The following is a 26258-nucleotide window of genomic DNA, read 5'->3' as shown; positions in this document are numbered from 1 at the left end:
GATAGGAAGGCAGCCTGGACAAGGGTTGAGGATGGAGGTAAAGAGGAAGAAGTCGCTGAACTGGCTACTCAGAAACAGCCTCTTAGGATACAGACATTTCAATGAGGAGGTGGCCAGAGGTCAGTATAAAGCTTTGAAAGCCCAGACTTGACTCTGTCATTTCATCATAAGGAGAGCATTCTGCTGAAGGTTTAATCCACAGTAGTTGAACTAAGGAGCTATGTATTTATGCAGCAAAAAATTAATTTGTTTACAGTGTTCCTGAGTAGCAAGCCAAATACACATACTCTTTCTCCATGGCATCTACTTTTCGAGGACCTAGCTACCCGGCAAACATCAAATTAGTAAATAGAATTCAAGCAAGGGCTATCTTGTAGCATTTCTATCACTACATTGTTGTTGACACTCTTATTGAAGAAGAGTCACTTCAAAAGTGAAGTGTAATTTAGATTGAATTATTAAAACAAAGAAATGTGTATTATACTTCAGAACAATTTCTATCAAAAAGAATAAAATAAAAAATAAGAAAAACCCTTCTTTCTCCAAACAATCTAGTTGTAAAACCATTAGGTGGGGCAGAAGAAGGTGCGTGTTCATGCCAGCTGAAGGTTAAGGCACCTATAACTCAGCCTAGAGTGGAATAAATGAGCTTGAGTAGGCTGAGAAGGGTACCCTCATGGGGAAACAGCTTGGCATAGACAGAGTTTCAAGAGTCCAATGGTATCAGAGTTCCAGCAGGATGAAAGAGGAATCCACAAATAGGGGGGATCCAGCTCAGAAGCAGAGTGTCCACGCCAGGGAATAGTGTGGGGATTCAGAGCCTGATAATGATGAGAAGGGGGCCCACCTGAGGGTTAAGTCGGCTAGGGGGAAGTCAGATCATAGAGTAGAGACGGCATTCTTGCAAGAAGCCACCTGGTATAAAGTATCAGACTGAGAAGAGTGACCCTCTCAGTGACACAGATCTGGGGAGATTCAGGTCAGAGTACAGTGGGCATCCCTGCAAGAGGCCACCTGGTATCAGAGAAGGGCGGGGAATGAGGACATGATCTAGCACCAGAAGTCAAAGTGTATACAGAATGGAAAAGCATCCCATGAGGGAGTCAGAATGAAGAGTCAAGAGCCTACGCAGGATAAGGAAGACTGGCATACAGGGATGGAGTCAGCCCATATGAGGTGCTAGGGCCCTGATGCAACGATGAGACATTGATTACATACAGGAGGATTGATTAAGTCAATATATTAAGATTATGGTTGTATAAGTACATTCTTGCACTGCTATAAAAAAAAAACCTGAAACTGGGTAACTTATAATGAAAGGAGGTTTAATTGGCTCACAGTTCCACATGCTATACAGGAAGCAAGACTGGGGAGACCTCAGGAAACTTACAATCATGGCAGAAGGCAAAGGGGATGCTGGCACATCTTACATGGCTGGAGCAGAAGAAAAAGAGTAAAGGGGGAATTGTGACAGATTTTTAAACAACCAGATCTCATGAGAATTTACTCACTATCATGAGAACAGCAAGGGGGAAATCTACCCCCATGATCCAATCACCCCAACCAGGTCCCTCCTGCAACAAGTCCTGCAGACTTCTGCCTGGACATCCAGACGTTTCCATACATCCCCTGAAATCTAGGTGGAGGCTCCCAAGCCTCAACTCTTGTTCTCTGCGCAACCCCAGGCTTAACACCATGTGGAAGCTGCCAAGGCTTACAGCTTGCAGCCTCTGGAGCAGCAGCTTAAGATATATCTGGGGCCCTTTTAGCCATGGCTGGAGCTGGAGTGGCTGAAACACAGGGAGTAGTGTCCTGTAATGGGAGGGGCTGCTGTGAAGATCTCTGAAATGCCTTCTAGCCATTTTCCCCAGTGTCTTGGCTATTAAACATTCTGCTCCTCTTTACTTATGCAAATTTCTGCAGCCGGCTTGAATTCCTCCCCAGAAAATGGGTTTTTCTTTTCTACCACATGATCAGGGTGCAAATTTTCCAAACTTTTATGCTCTGCTTCCCTTTTAAATATAAGTTCCAGTTTCAGATCTCTTTGCTTGCACATATGAGCATATACTGCTAGAAGCAGCCAGGCCACATGTTGAAAGTTTTGCTGCCTGGAAATTTCTTCCACCAAATACTCTAAATCATCTCTTTCAAGTTCAAAGTTCCACAGATTCCTAGAGCAGGGGCACAATGCTGCCAGTCTCTTTGCTAAAGCATCGCAAGAGTGACCTTTACTCCAGTTCTCAGTAAGCTCCTTATCTCCATCTGAGACCTCCTCAGCCTAGACTTCATTATTCATATCACTGTCAGCATTTTGGTCAAAATAATTTAACAAGTCTCTAGGAAGTTCCAAACTTTTCCTCATCTTCCTGTCTTCTTTTGAGCCCTCCAAACTGTTCCAACCTCTACCCATTACCCAGTTCCAAAGTCACTTCCACATTTTCAGCTATCTTTATAGCAATACCCTACTCTCGGTACCAACTTTCTGCATTAGTCTGTTTTCTCACTGCTACAAAGAAATACCTGAAACTGGTTAAAGAAAAGAGGTTTAATTGGCTCACGGTTCTGCAGGCTGTACAGGAAGCATGACTGCGGAGGCCTCAGGAAACTTACAATCATGGCAGAAGGTGAAGAGGAGGCTGGCACATCTTACACGGCCAGAACAGGAGGAAGAGAGTGAAGGGGGAGGTGCTACACACTTTTAAACAATCAGATCTCATGAGAACTTACTATCACAAGAACTGCAAGGGGGAAATCCACCTCCATGATTCAATCACCTCCCACCAGGCCCCTCCTCCAACAATGGGGGTTACAATTTGACATGAGATTTGGGCAGATACAAATTCAAACCATATCGGTACTCAATTCCTTGCTTCTCATTACCTTCATAGTATTTACCAAATCCCCAACCATGGATAAATGCAACTTTCCAATTTATTCAGTGCTTGGGCTGAACAAGACTGAAAAAACATACATAACCATGATGGCTGGTCTCTCTTTAAATTTTCACAAAACCCCTGACACTGTCATGTAATCCCAGAACACCTCCCTTAATCAATTTACTTACTGAGGTTAAAAACTATTCTATGTTTTCTAGGCTCAATCAACCCCTTCTGCCACTCTCAACCAGTAACTTCATTTCTTTTTTCATTTGAGAATATAAAAGCAATCAAAAGAGAACTTACTCATTCTTTCACCACTAAAGTTTCCAATCATATAATCTGCCTAAATCCCTGTTACAATGGATAACAGTGGATGTTCCTGGTATCCCCTCCAGTTGGGCAATGGATCTTATCTCTTTTTGCCTACTCAAGAATTGTGCTCTGTAATTATCCCCTCTCCTGCATCAATGTTTCTGTCCAGAGTCATTCCCAACAGTCTACAAATGCTCTAGTATATCCCACTTTTAAAAACACAATAAAACAACAACAACAAAACTTTCCTTTATCCTGTTAACCTCTTCAGCTACTGTCCTATGTCTGTGTCCACTTACAACAAAATTCATAAAATAATTCTGTTTCACTTCTTTATCTTTTCTCTGATTACTGGAACTGGTTTTGTCAAGAGCAACAACGGACTCCACATATCCAAACACTCCTCTTCTTTCTTGAGCTATCAACATATTTGACACAGTTGATGATTTCCTCCTTATAACACTTTATTCTCTTGTCTTCCAAGACACCACTCTCTCAGTTTTCCTTACTTAACGAATTGCTCTTTTACTAGCTTCTCCTCCTCTTCCCAATTTCTAAAGGCATCATCGGCTCTAGTGCTCTAGGTTAAGGTCTTGAATATCTTTTCCATATTCACTCTCTATTTGATCTCATCAGGCTTTAAAAATTAACTATGTGGAACTACCTGTATACACTAATGATTCCTAATTTTCTTTCTCCAGTCCTAATCTCTTTCCTGAACAGACTTCTGCTTGCCAACTGGACATCTCCTTTGGATATTTAACACATATCCCTAATTTGCATGTTTAAACCAGATCCACCCAAATATTTTTTCCATAGTGCCCCTATTATAATAAATGACAAAACTATTTTATCCAGTTGTTCAAGCCAAAAACTTTGGAGTTATGCTTGATGCTTTTACTTCTTTCATACACCATTATCCAAACCATTAGCTAATTTGTTGGTTCTATCTTCAAAATACATCCTAAATCCAAACATTTCTCACCATTCTACCACTACCTTAATGAAGCCACCTATATTTCTCACCTGGATCATCACAAAATCTTCTTAATTTGTCTCTGCCCTATCTTTGCTACCTACGGACAGTCTTCTCTCAGCAACCAGACTGAGCACTTTAAAAGATAAATCAGACCATGTCCTTTCCCTGCTCAAAATCTCCCAATAGACAGATTCCTATTTAAATAAGACTAGAATCCAAGGACCTACAGGATCTAGTCTCTCCTATCTTTCTAACTTTATTTTCTACCATTTTCCCTTGTTCTTCCTTGTCATTCCTTGAACACACCAACCATGCTCAGGGACTCTGCAACTAGACTGAATGAAATGTTTTCTTCCCAGATTTTGAACAACTCATTCCCTCTTGAATGAATATTTAAAAGACAACTCTGATTACTCTGTGAGAAAGAGAGAGCTTCAAGAATGAGGGCAGGAAAATAAGTTAGGAGACGATTCTAATAGTTGAAAGGGAATATGATGGTGGCTTGGAACAGGAACACAGTGGCCGATGGAATGAAGTAGACAAATTCTGACATATTTTAGAAGGGTAGGTAAGAATTGCTTATGTAGGGATGATGACATCATTTACAAAACTGGCGGGGGTGGGGTACTGAGGTAGTAACAGAGCTGAGAATGTAGGCAGGAAGTGGGTACAAGGAATCAAGAGTTCTGTTTTGAACATGTTAAATTTGAGATGCCCATTAAATATCCAAACAAACAGCTAGACATATATGTCTAGAGTTAAGGAAAGAAGTCAGGGTCAAATATATAAATGTGGTAGTTACCAGCACATAACCAGTACTTAAAGCCGTTAGACTGAATAAGCTCATCCAAGAGAGATAGGGAAGAGGGTTAATGCAAAGATGGCCAACTCTTGTGTCACACTGGCTTTTAGAAATCAAGCAGGTTGGGTGCAGTGGCTCACATCTGTAATCCCAGCACTTTGGGAGACTGAGGCAGGTGGATCACCTGAGGTGAGGAGGTTGAGACCAGCCTGGCCAACATGATGAAACCCCGTCTCTGCTAAAAATACAAAAATTAGCTGGGTGTGGTGGCACACCCGTAATCCCAGCTACTCAAGAGGCTAAGGCACAAGAATAGCTTGAACCTGAGAGACAGAGGTTGCAGTAAGCCAAGATCATGCCACACTGCACTCCAGCCTGGGCAACAGTGCAAGACTCCGTCTCATAAAAAAAAAGAAATCAAGCAAAGGTAGACCCAACAAAGACTAAAGTATAGCCAGTGAGAAAGAAGGAAACTATGAGATTATAGTGTCACAAAAGCCAAGAAGGAAATATATTTTAAAAAAGAAATAGCCAACTGTGTCAAATCTGACAAGATGTTAATGAGAATTAGAAACTGACCACTCTATCTGGCACATTGAGATTATTGGTGACCTTACAAAGGCACTTTTAGTGGAGGAAAAAAAGAAAACCTGAATGGAGTAGATTGAGGGAAAAATGGGAGTCAATGAAGTAAAGACAATGAGGACATACAAATCTTATGAATTTTGAAATATATTGGAACAGAGAAAAGGTAATGGCTAGAGGGTAAATTGGAGTAAAGGGAGAGTTTTTTGTTTGAAGACTAGAGATACCAGAGCATGTTTATATGCTGATGTGAATGATCCATCAAGAGAAACTGCTGATCCAGGAGAGAGATGGAAAAACTGAAGGGCAAAATCCTTGGGTGGATAAGAGGGATCAATGAGATCTAGCCTCCAAGGAGCTGGTTCATGTTTAGATAAAACAACAAATAATTTATCCAAGAAAAAACAGTATGGGCACGTATGTACAGTAGTTTCGTAGATGTGATGATTGGAAAATAAGGGAATTCTCATTTGATTCTTCCTATTTCTCAATAAAGTACAAAGCAAGATCATCAATTAAGGAAAGTAGATTGTAGATTTAAGGAGAGAGAAGGTGGGAAACAGTCATTATGGAGAGGACTCAGTAAATGTACTAAATACTATTACATTTCTAAGAGGAAAATTCATAAATATTTTCATAATTACAGAGTTATCTTTAATCACACTAAGGTAGAAACAAATAATAATCAACAGGGGGTCATTTAATAAACTACAGGATATAAACTCAATGGAATACAATTTACTAATTAAAAACAATAAAATAGAAGTATAAAATTATATTAATGTGCTAAAATATGTATGTGTGAATGCATTTATGTGCTCACGTAGACATGGTTTTATAAGCAGAAAAAAGCTTGGAAGAATACGTAACGAAAACATAGTGGAACTGGGGTCAGGGAGCGGCTAGAGAGGCACATGACCCCACTAAAAACGAATAAACTATATATATATGTGTGTGTGTGTGTGTGTGTGTGTGTATTGTTGTTTCACTTCTATATGTGCAAAAACAAACCTATAGACCAAATTCTATGTCCTTTACACATACGAATAGTATAAACACCATAATTCAAACAATGATTCATACACAAAGATTTTTATCATGATACTTTTTTTTCTAGACAGTGGGTCTCACTATATTGTCCAGGCTAGCCTTGAACTCCTGGGCTGAAGCAATCCTCCCATCTCAGCCTCTAGAGCTATCTGGGAGTATTGGCACACACCCCCAAGCCTGGCTTATCATGGTACATTTTAATGAAAAACTGAAAGCAATCTAATGTAAGAAAATTACATAACTACTAAAGTGTTCATGCACTTTAAGTAGAAAATATCTCAGACATACAAAGCAGTATAAAGATTAAAAGAAACACTTACATACCAAACACCCAGATGATAGTTTTTTAATGACATAGGACTTCATGATAATGTTAAGTGGGGAAAAAAACCCAGAATACAAAATTAAGAGTATGACATCAGCTATATAAAACAGTATTTAAAGGAGGAGGAAAACACATGAAAATGTCAACAACGGTTACTACTGGGTGCTAAAACTGTGTGGGGCTGACTTTCATTTCTCTTTATAGTTTTCCAGTGCCAAGTTTTCTATAATAAGCTATTATCATTTTTATAATTATAAAAATACAAAATTGTACTAGCACCATTACCTTGGGATCGTGTACAAATGTATTTCCTTTGGTTCCAGGAGGGAAATCTCCAGTACAAATATATTTTAGACATTCAATGATGGTCTAAAGAAATAGAAAATTACATTATTTCGTTATAAGAGAACCACAGAAGTTTACCATAAAATATGAATTCATTACAAAAATATTATTTATCATGGAAACTATAAAAGATAAAATCTGACATTATAAAACCTGTAATAAAAATATGATTAAGTGTTAATGCTGTAAGTTCACAGAAATGCTATATAACTAAGAAGTTATCCTAATATGAAGAATTGTTACTTGGGAAAAAAATAATTATTTTCAACTGAAACCCTTTAAACTAATTTAAGTTAATAATAAGAATGGCTAACAGTTAAGTACTGTATTGTACTAAGCACTCTTACATACATTTATTTAATTCTCACATTAACTCCAGGCTGTAGGAACTTTTTGTTTAAGAGACAGGGTCTCATTCTGCTGCCCAGGCTGCAGTGCAGCTGCATGATCATGGCTTACTGCAGCCTCGACCTCTCGACCTCCTGGGCTCAAGCAATCCCCCAGCCTCAGCCTCCCAAACGGCTCGGATTACAGTCGTCAGCCACCATGCCCAGCCTGTAGAAACTTTTTTTTTTTTTTTTTTTTTTTTGTGGGGGGAGAGAGTCTCCCTCTGTCACCCAGGCTGGTGTAGTGCAATGGCGTGATCTCGGCTCACTGCAACCTCCACCTCCCCGGTTCAAGCGATTCTCCCGCCTCGGCCTCCCCAGTAGCTAGGATTACAGGCATGCGCCACCACGCCTGGCTAATTTTTGTATTTTTATTAGAGATGGGGTTTCGCCACGTTGGCCAGGCTGGTCTCGAACTCCTGACCTCAGGTGATCCACCCGCCTCGGCCTCCCAAAGTGCTGGGATTACAGGCGTGAGCCACCGTGCCCAGCTGTAGAAACTATTTTTAATCTCCATTTTATAAATGAGAAAACTAAGGCACAGAGCAGTGAGGTCACTCGCAAACAATCAGACAACTAATAAATGAAGCGAAAAAGCTGTATTGAGGCAGCCAGTCCTCATAAACACTATACAGTACTACTCTCCCTTCTGCTAGTATTTAGTACAATCCTAAGTACATAACAAGCATTCAACAAATAACATTTTTACAAAAACAAAAGTAAACAAGTTTGGCATTCAATTCTCAACCTTCTCTCTTTCTACACTCTTCACAAATCCTTCCTTTAGACTCTTCTCCCTGCTATACTGACATCGTCTTGCTTTTTCTTAAGCCACTATTCCTGACCAGAATGCCTCTTGGTTATTCTTTCCATTCAAATTTATAAATATTCCCACGGCTTTAAAAAAAAAAAAAAGTCAGTCGTGCACCAACGTTAAATTTTTGACTGAGTTTTAAGAAGAGAAGTTTTCCAAGTTAAGCCCCACTACATCAGTTACATTTTGAATTTATTTATTTTCCATGTATTATGTCTGGACAGTTGGCATACTTGGAAACTCTTTAGTCATGTATGTATCATTTTATAACTTTTAAAGGAATTCTTGTATGGGACAACTACTGGGAAGTGAATGCTATGCTTTGAAAGCAAGGAGACAGCGTTAAAAACATCAATACAGACCAAAGGGCATCCAGTGGGAACTGAACTCTGAGTGAGCGGCGACAGCTCCCGGTATCGTGGGATTCTTAAGTAAACCTTGTCCCCAGGCCAGGTCCGGACATCCTTCCGAGACTGCTTCAGGCAAACTCCTAAGGTCGCTGTAGCCTGCAGGCCACACCCTAAGGCACTTTAAGGGCCTACACCTGTGGAGCCCTAGGGACGCTTCTGCTCCTAAGGAGAGTTCTCAACTTCCCATTTTATTCTCCGAAAGATGTAGCGACCTGTAAACTGAAGGCGGCTACTGAAGACTTACCGTCTTTCCCGCCCCATTGGGTCCAACCAAAATTGTAAGGGGGCTGAAGAAAGTGATAATTTGCTTATCTTTGTCCTCTATTCCAAAACTCCGCACGCCCAGAATGCTCATCTTTTCGATCCGGGACATGTTTGCAAACGTTTCTAATCTCACCAGGGACCTGGAGCCCACAAAGGCTTAACTGAGGCCGAAGCAAGGCGTGCACGGGACGTGAGACCCGCGAATCTCAGGGTCAGGAGGATCCGGGCGGGGAGCGAGGCCACAGGACTGCCAAAAGATCCTGCCAGCCAACAGCGGGAGAGAGGGGGCGGGGGATGGAGCCTTTCCTCCCACACCAGCTGCTTTCCCCGCCGGTGGGGAGAGCGGAGGCGGGGACCAGCCTGGGGCTGCCCGCCGGGGACGCAAAGCCGTAGCCACAATGCGACCCCGCAACCGCGCACTCACAGCTTCCTGCCTCGGCCGCCCTGCGGATCACGTGGGCCTCTAGGCCCGCACGCGTCCACGCCGCTCTCCTGGGGCACGCCGGGAAATCAGAGTCCCGCGGTGCGTGCGCAGCTCCGACTTCCGGGTGCGGTACGGCGAAGCAGAGGGCTAGGTGCTGGGTGCTGTTGCCAGGGGCAGCGGACTTCCGGATCTTTGCTGGGGATGGGCAGCCTGGAGAGGCACTGACTTTTGGAAGGGGAGACCAAGACCTGTGACGGATGGCGCTTCCCAAAGCTTGATCCTGGGACTCCTGGAATGGGGGTAGTGGTGGGGTGGATTGGAGACCCAGGAAGCGGGGTCAGTTCGTGTCAAAACTATTTTCCTTTTCATTCTCATTCTCTCTCTAACGTTCGTGTAGTAATTTCCAGTGATCACATAACATGTGATGACGCCATTGCAGTGGCGGTTAATGGAATGTGCGCATGTGTATTCTTGCGCTTAGAAATACCAATTTTAATTTCTAATTGAGTAAATGTTGATAATTATAACTCACGTACACGCTCTTTGAGGTCCCCCGTAATTTTTTAGTGTAAAGGCGTCTTTAAGACCAAAAGTCTGGGAACTAAAACTAAAAGCAGTCTGCAAATATGAAGAATGTAGAGGTAATCCATTCCGATCAGTGCTCCCAGCAATAGATATCTTTAAAAATAAGGGAAAGAGAAGTTACCTGTCTCAGAAGTAACTGAGAATATTGCTTTCTTGGAAACAAACTTAATGGAGGGATATCACATTTAAGGGCCTAGAGAAACATACATAAAAATTACTGAAACAATAGTGGAGGACATTTAAATGAAACACAAATTTGGAATTACTGTAGTGGTATAATTTGCCTCTGCCTGCCTTGGAAAAATGTAGGAAATGTTTCTCCAGTCATACAATCCCAAGCAAATAATTTACAGAACCTAATACATAAATGTATGTGCCAAAGGATGCAAGTGGGGAAGACCAGTGAGAAATAGTCTCTTGCTGTACCAGGTTAAAAAAAACCGGAAAGTGTCAGTTATTACAAAATAGTTAAAATAACTAATGGAACAAAACATTAAAATTATATAGGAATGTCTTACTTGGCAAAGCAAATGTAATAAAACAATGGGAAAAGACGAAAGACCTTTTTTTATTTTAAAAATTGTAAAATACACATAAAATTTACTGTCTTGGCCAGGCGCGGTGGCTCACGCCTGTAATCCCAGCACTTTGGGAGGCCGAGACGGGTGGATCACGAGGTCAGGAAATGAAGACCATCCTGGCTAACACGGTGAAACCCCGTCTCTACTGAAAACACAAAAAATTAGCCGGGCATGGTGGCAGGCGCCGATGGTCCCAGCTACTCAGGAGGCTGAGGCAGGAGTATGGCATGAACCCGGGAGGCGGAGCTTGCAGTGAGCCGAGACCGCACCACTGCACTCCAGCCTGGGCAACAGAGCGAGACTCCGTCTCAAAAAGAATTTACTATCTTAACCAAGTGTACATTTCAGTGGTGTTAAGTATACTCACGTACAACCGTCACCACCTTTCAACCTCTACAAATCTTTTCACTTTGCAAAACAAACTACCCATTAAACAATAACCCTTTCCTCCCCACATCCTCCAAACCCTGACAACCAACATTCTACTTACTGTCTCTATAATTTTTTACTAAGTACCTCATATAAGTGGAATCATACAGTATTTATCTTTTTGTGACTGGCTCATTTCACTTATAATGTCCTCAAGGTTCATCCATGTTGCAGCTCAGTCCCCAACCCCTGGGTCACTGACCAGTATGCATACCTGGCCTGTTAGGAACCTGGTGGCACAGTAGGAGGTGAGCAGCAGGTGAGTGAACATTACCACCCGAGCTGGGCCTCAGATCAGTGGGGGCATTAGATTCTCATAGGAGCACAAACCGTATTTTGAACTGCCCATGAGAAAGATGTAGGTTGCCCCATGCAAGGGATCTAGCTTGCCCATTCCTTATGAGAATCTAATGCCTGATGATGTGAGGTCGAACAGTTTCATCCCAAAACCATCACCCCACTCCTGTCTGTGGAAAAACTGTCTTCCGTGAGACTGGTCCCTGGTGCCAAAAAGGTTGGGGACCACTGTAGCATATATCAGAATTCAGGTCGTTTTTAAGGTTGAATAAGATTCATTACAATACACATCACATTTTGCTTATCCATCTATTGATGGACATTTGGGTTACTTTCACGTTTTAGCTATTGTGAATAGTGTGGCTATATATATTGGTGTACAAATGTCACTTCTGGACCCTGCTTTCAATTCTTTTGGGTATATACCCAGAAGTGGAATTATTAGATCATACAGTAATTCAATTTTTAATTATTTGAGGAACTGCCATACTGTTTTCCACAGTGGTTGTACCATTTGACATTCCCACCAATAGTGCATAAGGGTTTCAATTTCTACATATGCTTGCCAACACTTGTTATTTTATGTTTTTTTATGGTAGCCATCCTGATGAGTGTGAAGTGATACCTCATTGTAATTTTGATTTGCATTTCAATAATTATTAGTAGCATCATTTCATGTGTTTATTGGCCATTTGTGTATCTTTGAATAATTGACTATTCAAGTGGAGACTTTTTTTTTTTTTTTTTTTTTGAGATGGAGTCTCACTCTGTCACCCAGACTGGAGTGCAATGGTGCGATCTTGGCTCACTGCAACCTCCACCTCCCGCGTTCAAGTGATTCTTCTGCCTCAGCCTCCTGAGTAGCTGGGATTACAGGCACGTGGCACCACACCTGGCTAATTTTTTGTATTTTTAGTAGAGACGGGGTTTCACCATGTTGGTCAAGCTGGTCTCGAACTCCTAACCTTGTGATCCACCCGCCTCGGCCTCCCAAAGTGCTGGGATTACAGGTGTGAGCCACTGCGCCTGGCCAAGACCATTTTTTAAGTCAGATTTATTGAAGCATAATTAACATACAGTAAAATTCACCCTTTTCCAGGGTACAATTCCATGTGTTTTGGCAAATATAAACATTTGTGTAAACCACCAAGACCTTTTTTTTTTTTTTTTTTTTTTTTTAAGACGGAGTCTCTCTCTGTTGCCCAGGTTGGAGTGCAGTGGCGCGATCTCAGCTCACTGGAAGCTCCGCCTCCCGGGTTCACGCCATTCTACTGCCTCAGCCTCTGAGGACTGTAGCTGGGACTACAGGCGCCCGCCACCGCGCCCGGCTAATTTTTGTATTTTTAGTAGAGACGGGGTTTCACCGTGTTAGCCAGGATGGTCTCTATCCCCTGACCTCGCGATCCGCCCGCCTCGGGCTCCCAAAGTGCTGGGATTACAGGCGTGAGCCAGCGTGCCCGGCCACCACCAAGACCATTTAAATGAATACTGTGGAGACTTGGATATCAGTAGGAAGAAAAAAGCAAATCTACACTTTACTTTACTTACCACTGTAAGTTCTGGTGGATAAAATTTCAGAAAGATATTTCGGGAAGCAATAAAAGAAGAAGCAAGAAATGTAATTACCTCTACTTTTAAAGGGGAATTTTATGACCCAAAGTAGCATAAGAAATTAGCAATCACTGAGATAAGATATTGCTTGTCTCTGGTCTTAGCATGAAGTACCCAACATTATCTCTTATGCAGTTTTGCTTTCTTAAAAACGGAAAAAAGTTGAACTTGAATCTAATCATACCTTTAGATGTAACTTTCAGTTCACAGGAATTACAAGGATTAAGCTAACAGCAACACAGGGTTGGAAAAGGCAAATCCAGAAGCTAGAAACTGTTACAAGACACTGGCACAGGCTCTCAGGAGATCATTATCATTAAAGCAAAGACTATTGTAGATTTTAAAAGACTTATTAAAAAACATTTTGTTGCAAATTAAGAGATTTGAGATACATACCACCCCAATGGAATGCATGGTCCTAGTTTGGAAACTGGTTTTGCCATAGATGTGTGAAGGAAATTTGGGAGATAAGTAGGGAAATTTCAATGTAGACTGGAAATTAGATAATAAAAAAATTCTCTGAGGCAGGCGGATCATGAGGCCAGGAGATTGAGACCATCCTGGCTAACACGGTGAAACCCCGTCTCTACTAAAAATGCAAAAAATTAGCCGGGCCTGGTGGCATGCACCTGTAGTCCTAGCTACTCAGGAGGCTGAGGCAGGAAAATCGCTGAACCCGGGAGGTAGAGGTTGCAGTGAGCCAAGATCACGCCACTGCACTCCAGCCTGGGTGACAGAGCAGGACTCTATCTCAAAAATAATAATAATTCTTGTTAATTTCATTGTATTTGGTGTGATAATATTTTGCTATGTAAGAAAATGATCTTTTTTGAGATGCATATGGAAGTATTAGTGATAGTGTGTCATGTTGTCTGTAATTTAAAATACTTCAGAAAAAAAATAGTGAGTTGAAGGAAAAAAATGGACATGCCAAGGTAACCAGGTTCCATTACAAAAAAATTTCAACTTTGTAACAATGGAAACTATAAAACTAAGATAAAAGCTCTAGGATTGGGGTGGAAAAGATTTGTAATCAAAATGATTAATCCCTAAAATAAAAAGGCAAATCAGTGAAGTCTCCACTTCTTAGTAAACTACTACTTCCAAAAAATATTTAGTTTCACTGGTGCTAAAATTAATGAAATAAAAAATAAAACTACTATGAGATACTGTTTTATACCTAATAGAGAACTTCTTTATTCTTTGTTTTTTGTTGTTGTTGTTGTTGTTTTTGTTTTTGAGACAGAGTCTCGCTCTGTTGCCAGGCTGGAGTGCAGTGGCGCAATCTCGGCTCACTGCAACCTCTGCCTCCCGGGTTCAAGCGATTCTCCTGCCTCAGCCTCCTGAGTAGCTGGGACTACAGGCGTGCACCACCAAGCCCAGCTAATTTTTGTATTTTTAGTAGAGACGGGGTTTCACTATGTTGGCCAGGATGGTCTCGATCTCTTGACCTCATGAACCACCCTCCCAAAGTGCTGGGATTACAGGCTTGAGCCGCTGCGCCCAGCCTGAGAACCTCTTTATTCTTACAATACTTTCTAACATAATTCTCCCTTTTTTCTGATATTAATATTGGTACATGAGCTTTCTTTTGACTAGTATGGATTCGTTCTTAGAAATTGCAATTTAAGGGAAGTGAAACCAATTTTATCATAGCCTAGTTGATATAAACAAGAGACAAGTTCGTAGAACATATTTTTGGTCATAAAAATATCATCAAACTTATAAATAAAGATGAAAACACTTCTATTCAATATTAAACATTGAAACAAATGTGAGCAATAGATACATTTAAGAAAGATTCATAAAAGCAAGTAAAATAAGTATTTGCCCAACTATTCCAGTTCAAGTTTGCAGGTGGCTGGAGCTTTTCCCATCAGCTCAGGGTGCGAGGTGGGCACCAACCCTGAACAGGATGCCATTCCATCACAGAACACACACACATGCATGCACGCACACACACACACACGCAGACTGGGACTATGTAGACATGCCAATTCACCTCACATGCACATATTTGGGATGTGAGAGGAAACTGGAGTACCCAGAGAAACCCCACACAGACATTAGGAAATGTGCAAACTCCACACAGCCTGGCCAAGAATTAATTATTGTTTTCTCGTGAATGTTATAACAAAGTTATTCTAGGACCTGCTATGTATCTTTGCATCCAAACTTCCTATGTTGTTTTGCATTGTGTATCTCTTGAAAATAGCTGATAGATGATTTCTAATGCAATTTTATAGTATTTGCCTTTTAATAAATGACTTTCATCTGTTTTCAATTACTGTGATTGCTGGTAAATTTAGGCATATGTCTTATTCCTGTGCTTTTTCTTTGTTTCTTTGTCTCCTTTCCTGCTTTGTAGAATATCCAAGCTTTCTTTATTCCTTGTTTTACTCTACTGATTTGGAAAATACACATTCTATTTCTATTCTTTTACTGGGCACTCTTAAATTTTTCACATTACTATTTTGAAGTCCAGAGTTAATATCATTAGGATCCTTCTGAACAATACAAGGACTGTAAAATGTGCCAGAAGATCACCCCCCACCTTCCACATTATCACTATTTAGCATTTTTGTTCCTCATTGTCTTCAAATAAGAAACAAAACAAATGAAATCAGTTATTTTTAAACCAGCATTATTCATTTAGGTTTACCAGCATATTTATCAAACTCTTTGATTCCCACTGCTTCTGCGTCACTTCTTCCTTCTGGGTTCATTCGCTCTCCATTAGCAAAACCTTTAAAGCCTGGTGCTAATGGACCTTCAGAGAAAGAAATATATCTCCTGGTGCTAATATCAAGATTAAACAAAGCTATTTTTGTGAAAATGCTTTATAAATTGTAAAACCCTGTGAAAATATAAGAGTTATTTTTTCTGGCCAGGCGCATTGGCTCACACCTGTAATCCCAGCACTTTGGGAGGCCGAGATGGGCAGATCACGACGTCAACAGATCAAGACCATCCTGGCCAACTTGTTGAAACCCCGTCTCTACTAAAAATACAAAAATTAGCTGGGCATGATGGCGCGTGCCTTTAGTCCCAGCTTCTCTGGAGGCTGAGGCAGGAGAATCGCTTGAACCCAGGAGGCGGAGCTTGCAGTGAGCTGAGATTGTGCCACTGCACTCCAGCCTGGCGACAGAGTGAGACTCTGTCTCAAAAAAAAAAAAAAAAAGATTTCTTTTTTCTGCATTGGATATTTTCAGAGGGTAATCTGGTAAAATGTAACAAAGCTATAAACATGATTATACAAGTTCATTAGCATAAGGAAAATTTTTAAAATTTTACACAGGTGTTTATAGTAGCATTGTTTAAAATTGTGGAAGGCTAGAAACAACCCCAGTGCCTAAAAGTTGGGAAATGGTGATGGAAACTATGGTACATCAGTTTCATCTAATAGCAGGTTATCACTAAAATAATAAGTAGGAAATTGTATAGATATGTGAAAAAGAAATACTCATAAAAAAGATAAATACAAACTGCATATATTCACTGATTAAAACTGTAAAACTGTCTATGTGTTGGTAAGGTTTAGAAGATGATTTCAAAAAACTGATAGTTGCTATACCAAGAAATTCTGTGTTTATTTTCCTATAATGTTATTTATTCAATTAAAAAATCATATTAAAGGGAGATTGAAAGGATAGAATTTCGAATAGAGTCAAGAAGAAAAAGAGATGTTATCAATTTACATTTAGTCATCATGAAAATTGCGAGGCATCATGCTCAGTTGATTAGAATCAGTTCATGGAAAAGTCATTTGACCTTAAGGACTACACAGTAAAAACCACAGTTATCAGTTTTAAAGACATGTTGCCAATGTGTTACCCACTAATAGAGATAAAAGTTTTAGGGCAAAAGGATGGATGTTACCCACCAATGTAACTTTTCAATATTAATCAAAGTGCTTTTTTTAAATTATAAAATTACCAACCAGTAATTATTTAAAAATCAAAGTACTAATTGTTTATTTCTTTCTATTTCCCTAAAATAACGTGGATTTTAAAAAATCTAAATGGTAGTTCACATTGCCTCCGTCTCTGTAGCTGAACTTTAAAGCTTTGCTCTCTTTTGCCCAGGAGTTCTGCCAAAGAACTCCTGTTGTTTGTTACTTTAGGCTCCTAGCTGCAGGTAAAAGACTCCTTGAGGCCGGGCACGGTGGCTCATGCCTGTAATCCCAGCACTTTGGGAGGCCGAGGCGGGCGGATCACGAGGTCAGGAGTTTGAGACCAGCCTGGCCAAGATGGTGAAACCCCGTCTCTACTAAAAATACAAAAGTTAGCCGGGCGTGGTGGCAGGTGCCTGTAATCCCAGCTACTCAGGAAGCTGAGGCAGGAGAATCGCTTGAACCTGGGAGGCGGAGGTTGCAGTGAGCCGAGATTGCACCACTGCCCTCTAGCCTGGGTGACAGAGCAAGACTCTGTCTCAAAAAAAAGAAAAAGACTTCTTGAGTTTCCACAGTATAGTAATCCTCACTTAATGTCATCAATAGGTTCTTGGAAACAGACTTTAAGGGAAACGATGTATAACAAAACCAATTTTACCGTAGGTGAATTGATATGAACAAAGCTTACATTCCTATGGCATATTTCTGGCCACAAAAATATCATCACACTTCTAAACAAAGACCAAACACTTCTAATATTAAACATTGAAACAATTATGAGCTATATGTACATTTAAGAAAGATTCATAAAAACAAGTAAGATAACTTACCCAACTATTCCAGTTGAAGGTTGAAGATGGCTGGAGTTTATCCCGGTAGCTCAAGGTACAAGGTGAGCACCAATCCTGGATAGGGCGTCATTCCATTGCAGAGCACACAGACGCACACACAGACGCACACACACACACTCACAGACTGGGACTGTGTAGACATGCCAATTCACCTCGCGTGCACATCTTTGGGATGTGAGAGATTGTGCAAACTCCACATAGACAATGGCTTTGGCTGGGAAGCGATTGTTTTTCTTATCAACAGTATAATGAAATAACGTGGAACTAAGCAAAGTTATTCAAGGACCTGCTGTATTCACATTAACTCAACGAGTACAACAAAAGATAAAGTTGTTGTAAGTGCCTGCTTGTTCATTCAGTTAGTTATTTAACAAATCTTTATTTTACTGTCTACAATAGGCTAGTCCTCAAGGATGAAGAGATCGATTCAATAAAAACCTTATTCTCAAGGAGCTCATAGTCTACTGGTGAAATAAAAAGGTGCCAACTGCATTACACTCATGGAATTCAAAGTTCTGCTTTTTTTTTTTTTTTGAGACAGGGTCTCACTATGTTGCCCAGGCTAGTCTTAAACTCTTGGGCCCGATTGATCCTCTGGCCTCAGCCTCCTGAGCAAAGCCTTTTAAATAATAATGGTAAAAACAATCATTAACTTTTTCAATGTGCAGTATTATTATTTATTTATTTATTTATTTGAAATGGAATCTCGCTCTGTCACCCAGGCTAGAGTGCAGTGGCGCTATCTCAGCTCACGGCAACCTCTGCCTCCTGGGTTCAAGTAATTCTCCTGCCTCAGCCTCCCAAGTAGCTGGGATTACAGGCGCCAGCCACCAAGCCTAGCTAATTTTTGTATTTTAGTAGAAACAGGGTTTCACCATATTGGCCAGGCTGGTCTCGAACTGCTGACTTCAACCAATCCACCCACCTCAGCCTCCCAAAGTGCTGGGGTTACAGACCTGACCCATCATGCCTCGCCGCAGTATTATTTTTAATACACTTTTTATTTTAAGTAGTTTTAGATTTATAGAGAAGTTTCAAGACTGTTAGAGAGCATTCCAGTGTGCCCTGCACCCAGTTTCCCATTGTTAACATTACTATGGTACAATTGTCACAACTAAGGAACTAATATTGGTACATTACTAAACTCCAGGCTTTTTCCAATTCCCTTAGTTGTGCCCGTTGTCCTTATTCTGTTCCTGAGTGTCATCCATGATACCACATTGTATGTAGTCATCACGTCTCTTAGAGGCCTCTCTGGCTGTGTCAGTTTCTCAGACTGTGCTTGTTTTTGATGACCTTAACAGTTTTAAGGAGTACTGGTCAGGCATTTTGTCTTTCCATTTGGGTATGTGTAGTGTTTGTGTCATGGTTAGGCAGAGGTTACTGGTTTTGGGGAGGAAGATGACAGGGATAAAGTTCCTTTCTTATCACATCAAATCAAAGGTACATGCTGTTAACATGATGTTTCACTGCCACCATTGACTGGGATCACCTAGCTGAAGTAGTGTTTGATCAGGTTTCTCCACTGTGAAGTTATTCCTCTTATTCTCCCCTTTCCATACAGTTCTCTTTTTTAAAAAGTCACTCTGTATATCCCACTCTTAATGAAAGGGGGTTGTGTTCCATCTCCTTGAGGGTGTAGTAGCTACATACATTATTTTGAATTCTTGGGCACAGGAGATTAAAATCATTAACTTTTATTTGGAGTTTTGCATTAATAAAGCTCTTTCTTTTTTTTGAGATGGAGTCTCGCTCTGTTGCCCAGGCTGGCGTGCAGTGGCGTGATCTCAGCTCACTGCAACATCCACCTCCCAGGTTCACGCCATTCTCCTGCCTCAGCCTCCTGAGTAGCTGGGACTACAGGTGCCGGCCACCATGCCCAGCTAATTTTTTTGTATTTTTAGTGGAGATGGGGTTTCACTGTGTTAGCCAGGATGGTCTCGATCTCCTGACCTCGTGATCTGCCCGCCTCAGCCTCCCAAAGTGCTGAGATTACAGGTGTGAGCCACCATGCCTGGCCAATAAAGCTCTTTCAAATACATTATTTTACAGGTCCAACTCCGAGACAGTTTACAGTCAGGTTGGGGAGATCACACTTATAGAGGAAAAGTTAATGACACGAAAACTTTATAAGAAATTTAATTTTGTACACCCATGTTCATAGCAGCATTATTCACAATAGCCAAAGGATGGAAGCAACATTGGTGTCCATCGACAGACCATGGATAAACAAAACATGGTATAGACATCCAATGAAATATTATTCAGCCTTAAAAAGGAAGAAAATTGACACATGCTACAACATGGATGAATCTTGAGAATAGACATTATGCTAAATGATATAAGCCAGTCACAAAAAGCCAAGTACTGTATATCAGGTACCTAAAGTCATCAAATTCATAAAGACAGAAAGTAGAAGCGTGGTTGCAAGGTGCTGGGAGAATGGGGGCGGGGGTTGGGAGCTGTTGTTTAATGGGTACAGAGTTTCAGTTTTGCAAGATGAAAAGAGTCCTGGAGATTTGTCACACAACATTATGAATGTACTTAAGGCTACTGAGCTGTACACTTAAAAAAATGGTTAAGATAGTAAATTTTATGTGTATTTTGCCACAATTAAACATTTCTAAAAGAAATACAATTTTGAATAAGAAGTATTTTTTATAACTAGCCTTCCAATAAGAACCCACAGTTTTGCTGTAAAACAGAGGCTGCAAAATGGTACATTATACAGTTGCCAACATTTGAAAAATCCAGAGATTATATATAATAAGCAGGATTTCAGCCTTCCTTTTTTGTTGTTGTTGTTGTTGTTGTGCTTTTTGTTTTTTTGTTTGTTTGTTTGTTTTGAGACAGTCTCACTCTCTTGCGCAGGCTGGAGTGCAGTGGTGCAACCTCAGCTCACTGCAACCTCCGCCTCCTGAGTTCAAGCAATTCTCCTGCCTCAGCCTCCCGAGTAACTGGGATTACAGGCACACACCACCACGCCTGGCTAATTTTTATAAAGGCTTCTTTGAAAAACAGAATGATCGGGTAATGTGAGCCCAGGTGTGTCACCTGGCAACCATCAGCTGGAGCTGAGCAGCACCTGCCACCTTTAGACAGATCATGCATGCTATAGTTTCATGTGACCCCCACCAGCTTTGATGTATTACACCCTGCCCATTTCACTCACTGGTCTTGAACTCCTGGGCTCAAGGGATCCACTGCCTGGGCTTACCAAAGTGCTGGGATTACAGGCGTGAGCCACTGTGTTTAGCCCAATTTTTTATTTTTTCTAGAGATGGAGTCTCACTATGTTGCCTGGGCTGGTCTCAAACTCCTGGGCTCAAGCAATCCTTCTGCTTCAGCCTCCCAAAGTGCTGGGATTACAAGCATGAGCCACCTTGCCCAGCCTCCTATGATAGAATTTAAGCACTCAGAACTTTGTGTATTTAAGGTACTAAAATAACAAGTTATTTGGCAATTCCCCTGAAACTTTCACCTAAGCCCTAACTTCCTCAGTGTAACATAAAGGTGTCAGGGGGAATCAGAGAGAACGCTCTCATATTCTCTGGGAAGAGAAAGCTCCTGCCAGAACTCAGCTTCTTTTCTGAGAATACCATTTTAAGAGCACTTTGACCAAGCCTATTGTGATTCCTACTCCCGAAAATCTCACTCCCGATAGATTTTCTGAAGTGAGCCAAACTTCTGCAGTCTCAAGGAAACATTTCTCAAGGAAAACATTTCTCAAGTGCGCAAATCAGACACATCTAACCAAGAGTCCAAAACTTCAGCACAAACAAAACCAAACGTGGTACAAGAAGGCCGCCACTGAAATCCAAGACTGTCTTTATCTTTCCAGTGCAGAGCTGGGATTGAGTATGTATGAAAGGTGTGTCTACCTCCCAGCTGCCTCTACTTCTCCTACACAACTGCACCTAGCTTTGGAAAACTGTTCTGGGCAACAGTTTGTGTTTGGTACCATCTGTTCTTGACGCTCAAGACAGGCCTGAAGTCAGGCTTCTAGGCTGCAACATAGAGCCACTCTGGGATGCTCACTGAAGCACTCTATTAAAAACAATGAGCCACATACACCTCCATCATATGTGTTCAGGCCAGGGAAAAAGGAAGTGTGTGATCTAGGAGGGGGCCTCATTTGTACCTTTCTGGGATTACAGGTCTGAGCCTAAGGAACAAAGGCTGATTCCCCTAATTTCATGGCCCGCCCAAGGTGTGAAAGGACACCTCCACCCTTATGGGACATAAAGGAGAGGACACATCCATGTATTGTGTATCTGTGACAGATATTTATTGGTTGCCTTCCTAGAATCTGTGTCCCCCTTACTACTGGGACCCCACATTTCTAAGCTATGCAGTTGAGGTAGGATTAGGGTCACCTCTAGCTCCAGGGAGAGCCAATCAGTATATACTACACCCTGGTCACAGTTCAAGGATGAACATGTGACCCTTGTCAGAAAGAGACTGAATTTGAAAGCTTTTGATTAAACAATCAGAAAAGCACAGCTTGCTTTTTCCTGCTGCTCATGAACAGAATACATATAGATCCAGGAGTCTGGACATCATCTTGAGACCTCAATGGGAAAGGTGCCCAAGGATGGAGTCAAGGAAGAGTCACTGAAGCCATCAAAATGTAAAAGAGCCTCCATTCCTGGACTGTTTGGTTCTATGAGCCAATACCTTCCCTCTTTATCTTCAACAACTTTAGGTTAGGTTTTTAGTCACTGGCAACAGAAAGGATCCTAATCAAGACCCCAGTGAACAGAACTCGACCCTGCCAAGGCTTGGCAGTTTCCATTTCAATCACTGTCTTCCCACCAGTATTTTCAATTTCTTTTAAGACAGATTAATCTAGCCACAGTCATAGTAGAACATAGCCGATCTGAAAAAAACATTCCCAATATTTATGTATTTTAGCATAAAATTCTGTTTAGTGGTCTACCTTATACTTTGTTTTGCACACATCTTTTAAGAGGAAGTTAATTTTCTGATTTTAAGAAATGCAAATGTGGGGCAATGATGTATTAACCCAAAGATTCTTCGTAATAGAAAATGTTTTTAAAGGGGGGAAACAGGGATTTTTATTATTAAAAGATAAAAGTAAATTTATTTTTTAAGATATAAGGCATTGGAAACATTTAGTTTCACGATATGCCATTATTAGGCATTCTCTATCTGATTGTTAGAAATTATTCATTTCCTCAAAGACAGACAATAAATTGACTGGGGACGCAGTCTTGTACTATGCACTTTCTTTGCCAAAGGCAAACGCAGAACGTTTCAGAGCCATGAGGATGCTTCTGCATTTGAGTTTGCTAGCTCTTGGAGCTGCCTACGTGTATGCCATCCCCACAGAAATTCCCACAAGTGCATTGGTGAAAGAGACCTTGGCACTGCTTTCTACTCATCGAACTCTGCTGATAGCCAATGAGGTAATTTTCTTTATGATTCCTACAGTCTGTAAAGTGCATAGGTAATCATTTGTGATGGTTCCTTTACTATATATAGAGATCTGTTATAAATAATAAGATTCTGAGCACATTAGTACATGGGTGATAACTACATCACCAGCAAACATTCTGTTAAAAGTTATGAATGCTGGTGTGCTGTAAAAATGATTGTATTTCCTTTCCTCTCCAGACTCTGAGGATTCCTGTTCCTGTACATAAAAATGTAAGTTAAATTATGATTCAGTAAAATGATGGCATGAATAAGTAAATTTCCTGTTTTAAGCTGTAAATCATTAGTTATCATTGGAACTATTTAATTTTCTATATTTTGTTTTCATATGGGTGGCTGTGAATGTCTGTACTTATAAATATGAGGAATGACTTTTTATCAAGTAGAATCCTTTAAACAAGTGGATTAGGCTCTTTGGTGATGTTGTTAGTTTGCCTCCCAAAGAGCATCGTGTCAGGGATTCTTTCCAGAAGGATTCCACACTGAGTGAGAGGTGCGTGCTAGTCTCCGTGCAGTTCTGACTCTTTCTCACTCTAACGTGTTTCTGAAAGTATTAGCAACTCAGAATTATATTTTTAGAACCATGATCAGTAGACATTAAAATATATAACAAATGCCCTATATTAATAATTTCTGCATACTTAAATAATTATGACTATATGATGGTGTTGTATGCATTTGAATATGTCCTGGTCATATTAAAATGTAAAATATATAGTTTTATTAGTCTAAATAGAATAAAACTACCAGCTAGAACTGTAGAAACACATTGATATGAGTTTAATGTATAATGCATTACACTTCCAAAACATTTTTTTCCAGTTACATAATTAAGTTATATCCTTTATAAAACTCCTCAGTAATCATATAAGCTTCATCTACTTTTTGAAAATTTTATCTTAATATGTGGTGGTTTGTTGCCTAGAAAACAAACAAAAAACTCTTTGGAGAAGGGAACTCATGTAAATACCACAAAACAAAGCCTAACTTTGTGGACCAAAATTGTTTTAATAATTATTTTTTAATTGATGAATTAAAAAGTATATATATTTATTGTGTACAATATGATGTTTTGAAGTATGTATACATTGCAGAATGGACAATGGACCAAATTTTTATACCTTGTCTTGATTATTTGCATTTTAAAAATTTTCCTCATTTAGCACCAACTGTGCACTGAAGAAATCTTTCAGGGAATAGGCACACTGGAGAGTCAAACTGTGCAAGGGGGTACTGTGGAAAGACTATTCAAAAACTTGTCCTTAATAAAGAAATACATTGACGGCCAAAAAGTAAGTTACACACATTCAATGGAAGCTATATTTGTCTGGCTGTGCCTATTTCTATGGAATTGACAGTTTCCTGTAATACCTATTGTCATTTTTCTTTTTTCACAGAAAAAGTGTGGAGAAGAAAGACGGAGAGTAAACCAATTCCTAGACTACCTGCAAGAGTTTCTTGGTGTAATGAACACCGAGTGGATAATAGAAAGTTGAGACTAAACTGGTTTGTTGCAGCCAAAGATTTTGGAGGAGAAGGACATTTTACTGCAGTGAGAATGAGGGCCAAGAAAGAGTCAGGCCTTAATTTTCAGTATAATTTAACTTCAGAGGGAAAGTAAATATTTCAGGCATACTGACACTTTGCCAGAAAGCATAAAATTCTTAAAATATATTTCAGATATCAGAATCATTGAAGTATTTTCCTCCAGGCAAAATTGATATACTTTTTTCTTATTTAACTTAACATTCTGTAAAATGTCTGTTAACTTAATAGTATTTATGAAATGGTTAAGAATTTGGTAAATTAGTATTTATTTAATGTTATGTTGTGTTCTAATAAAACAAAAATAGACAACTGTTCAATTTGCTGCTGGCCTCTGTCTTAGCAATTGAAGTTAGCACAGTCCATTGAGTACATGCCCAGTTTGGAGGAAGGGTCTGAGCACATGTGGCTGAGCATCCCCATTTCTCTGGAGAAGTCTCAAGGTTGCAAGGCACACCAGAGGTGGAAGTGATCTAGCAGGACTTAGTGGGGATGTGGGGAGCAGGGACACAGGCAGGAGGTGAACCTGGTTTTCTCTCTACAGTATATCCAGAACCTGGGATGGTGCAGGGTAAATGGTAGGGAATAAATGAATGAATGTGCTTTCCAAGACTGATTGTAGAACTAAAATGAGTTGTAAGGCGTCCCCTGGAAGAAGGGCAGTGTGGGAACCTGTAACTAGGTTCCTGCCCAGCCTGTGAGAAGAATTTGGCAGATCAATCTCATTGCCAGTATAGAGAGGAAGCCAGAAACCCTCTCTGCCAAGGCCTGCAGGGGTTCTTACCCCACCTGACCCTGCACCATAACAAAAGGAACAGAGAGACACTGGTAGGGCAGTCCCATTAGAAAGACTGAGTTCCGTATTCCCGGGGGCAGGGCAGCACCAGGCCGCACAACACTCCATTCTGCCTGCTTATGGCTATCAGTAGCATCACTAGAGATTCTTCTGTTTGAGAAAACTTCTCAAGGATCCAGAAAATATGCTCTTTAAAATATTTTAAAACTGATATAGACCCAAAGGAGAGACCCTCCATTCTCTCTTTCTTTCATTCAACAAATCTGTATTGATCACAGGCTCTCTGCTGGGTGTGGGATGCAGCTGTGGGCCTGTGCTGGAGGTCCTTAGAGGCCAGTACTCCTATCCTGGGCTTTATCTGCATGGATTGCTGCAGTGTTGGGCTCCACTGCTGTGTGAAGCAATTGCTCCTGCTCTTTCTGGGCATGGGAGAAGGGTCAGAGCAGTCGGACACAGATTCCCAGGCAGGAGAATGGAACTCCTTCCGAGGAAGAAGACGTGTTTTCCTTCCAGCACACACCCAGGCATGGTGGTCAGGACCGTGGACCAGGTCCCCAACTTGTGCATGCACCAAGCCCCAGGATCAGGAGCAGAGCTAGTGAGGGAGCAAGATGGATGAGGACAGCACGGTGCTGACCA

The 26258-nt window shown here is 40.7% G+C and overlaps 2 protein-coding genes across 5 annotated transcripts in view, besides 1 other annotated feature; one reads left to right on the top strand and one right to left on the bottom strand.

Moving 5' to 3' along the window:
- Nucleotides 1-9608, bottom strand: part of RAD50 (RAD50 double strand break repair protein) — an 89373-nt gene extending 79765 nt beyond the window's left edge. Inside the window, exons 1-2 of the mRNA NM_005732.4 lie at nt 9132-9608; nt 7218-7301 (exon numbers count right to left, since the gene is read on the bottom strand). Of these exons, the coding sequence (NP_005723.2) occupies nt 7218-7301; nt 9132-9260 (213 nt within the window). The 5' untranslated portion in view covers nt 9261-9608. The remainder of the gene's footprint in view (nt 1-7217; nt 7302-9131) is intronic.
- Nucleotides 9325-9985: an enhancer, noted in NCBI's record as "H3K27ac hESC enhancer chr5:131892292-131892952 (GRCh37/hg19 assembly coordinates)". NCBI's record gives its function as "activates a minimal SCP1, AML or CMV promoter by ChIP-STARR-seq in naive H9 embryonic stem cells {active_cell/tissue: H9 hESC(naive)}" and the evidence as "EXISTENCE:reporter gene assay evidence [ECO:0000049][PMID:30033119]".
- On the top strand, nt 9770-25140 carry IL5 (interleukin 5). 4 transcript variants are annotated; one of them, XM_011543373.4, is made up of 6 exons: nt 9770-9911; nt 11328-11429; nt 23083-23250; nt 23459-23491; nt 24442-24570; nt 24676-25140. In XM_011543373.4, exons 3-6 carry the CDS (start codon nt 23107-23109, stop codon nt 24772-24774), a joined length of 405 nt encoding a protein of 134 aa, XP_011541675.1. In that variant the 5' UTR covers nt 9770-9911; nt 11328-11429; nt 23083-23106; the 3' UTR covers nt 24775-25140. The 4 variants fall into 4 exon arrangements, with proteins under 4 accessions (XP_011541675.1, XP_005272045.1, XP_047273104.1 ...); XM_005271988.5 differs by lacking the exon at nt 11328-11429; XM_047417148.1 differs by lacking the exons at nt 11328-11429; nt 23083-23250.

The sequence above is a fragment of the Homo sapiens genome, chromosome 5 (assembly GCF_000001405.40).
Source record: "Homo sapiens chromosome 5, GRCh38.p14 Primary Assembly".
Lineage (NCBI taxonomy): Eukaryota > Metazoa > Chordata > Mammalia > Primates > Hominidae > Homo > Homo sapiens.
The sequence above is the reverse complement of the archived record's forward strand: the minus strand, read 5'-3'. Positions and strand labels throughout refer to the sequence as shown.

Bases quoted from the DNA above. Each gene is read 5' to 3' on its own strand.
- IL5 (XM_005271988.5), top strand. From the start codon at position 9,870: ATGGGGGTAGTGGTGGGGTGGATTGGAGACCCAGGAAGCGGG. The intron at 23,492-24,441 runs GTAAGTTAAATT...TTCCTCATTTAG, and splicing joins CTGTTCCTGTACATAAAAAT to CACCAACTGTGCACTGAAGA. The intron at 24,571-24,675 runs GTAAGTTACACA...CTTTTTTCACAG, and splicing joins AATACATTGACGGCCAAAAA to AAAAAGTGTGGAGAAGAAAG.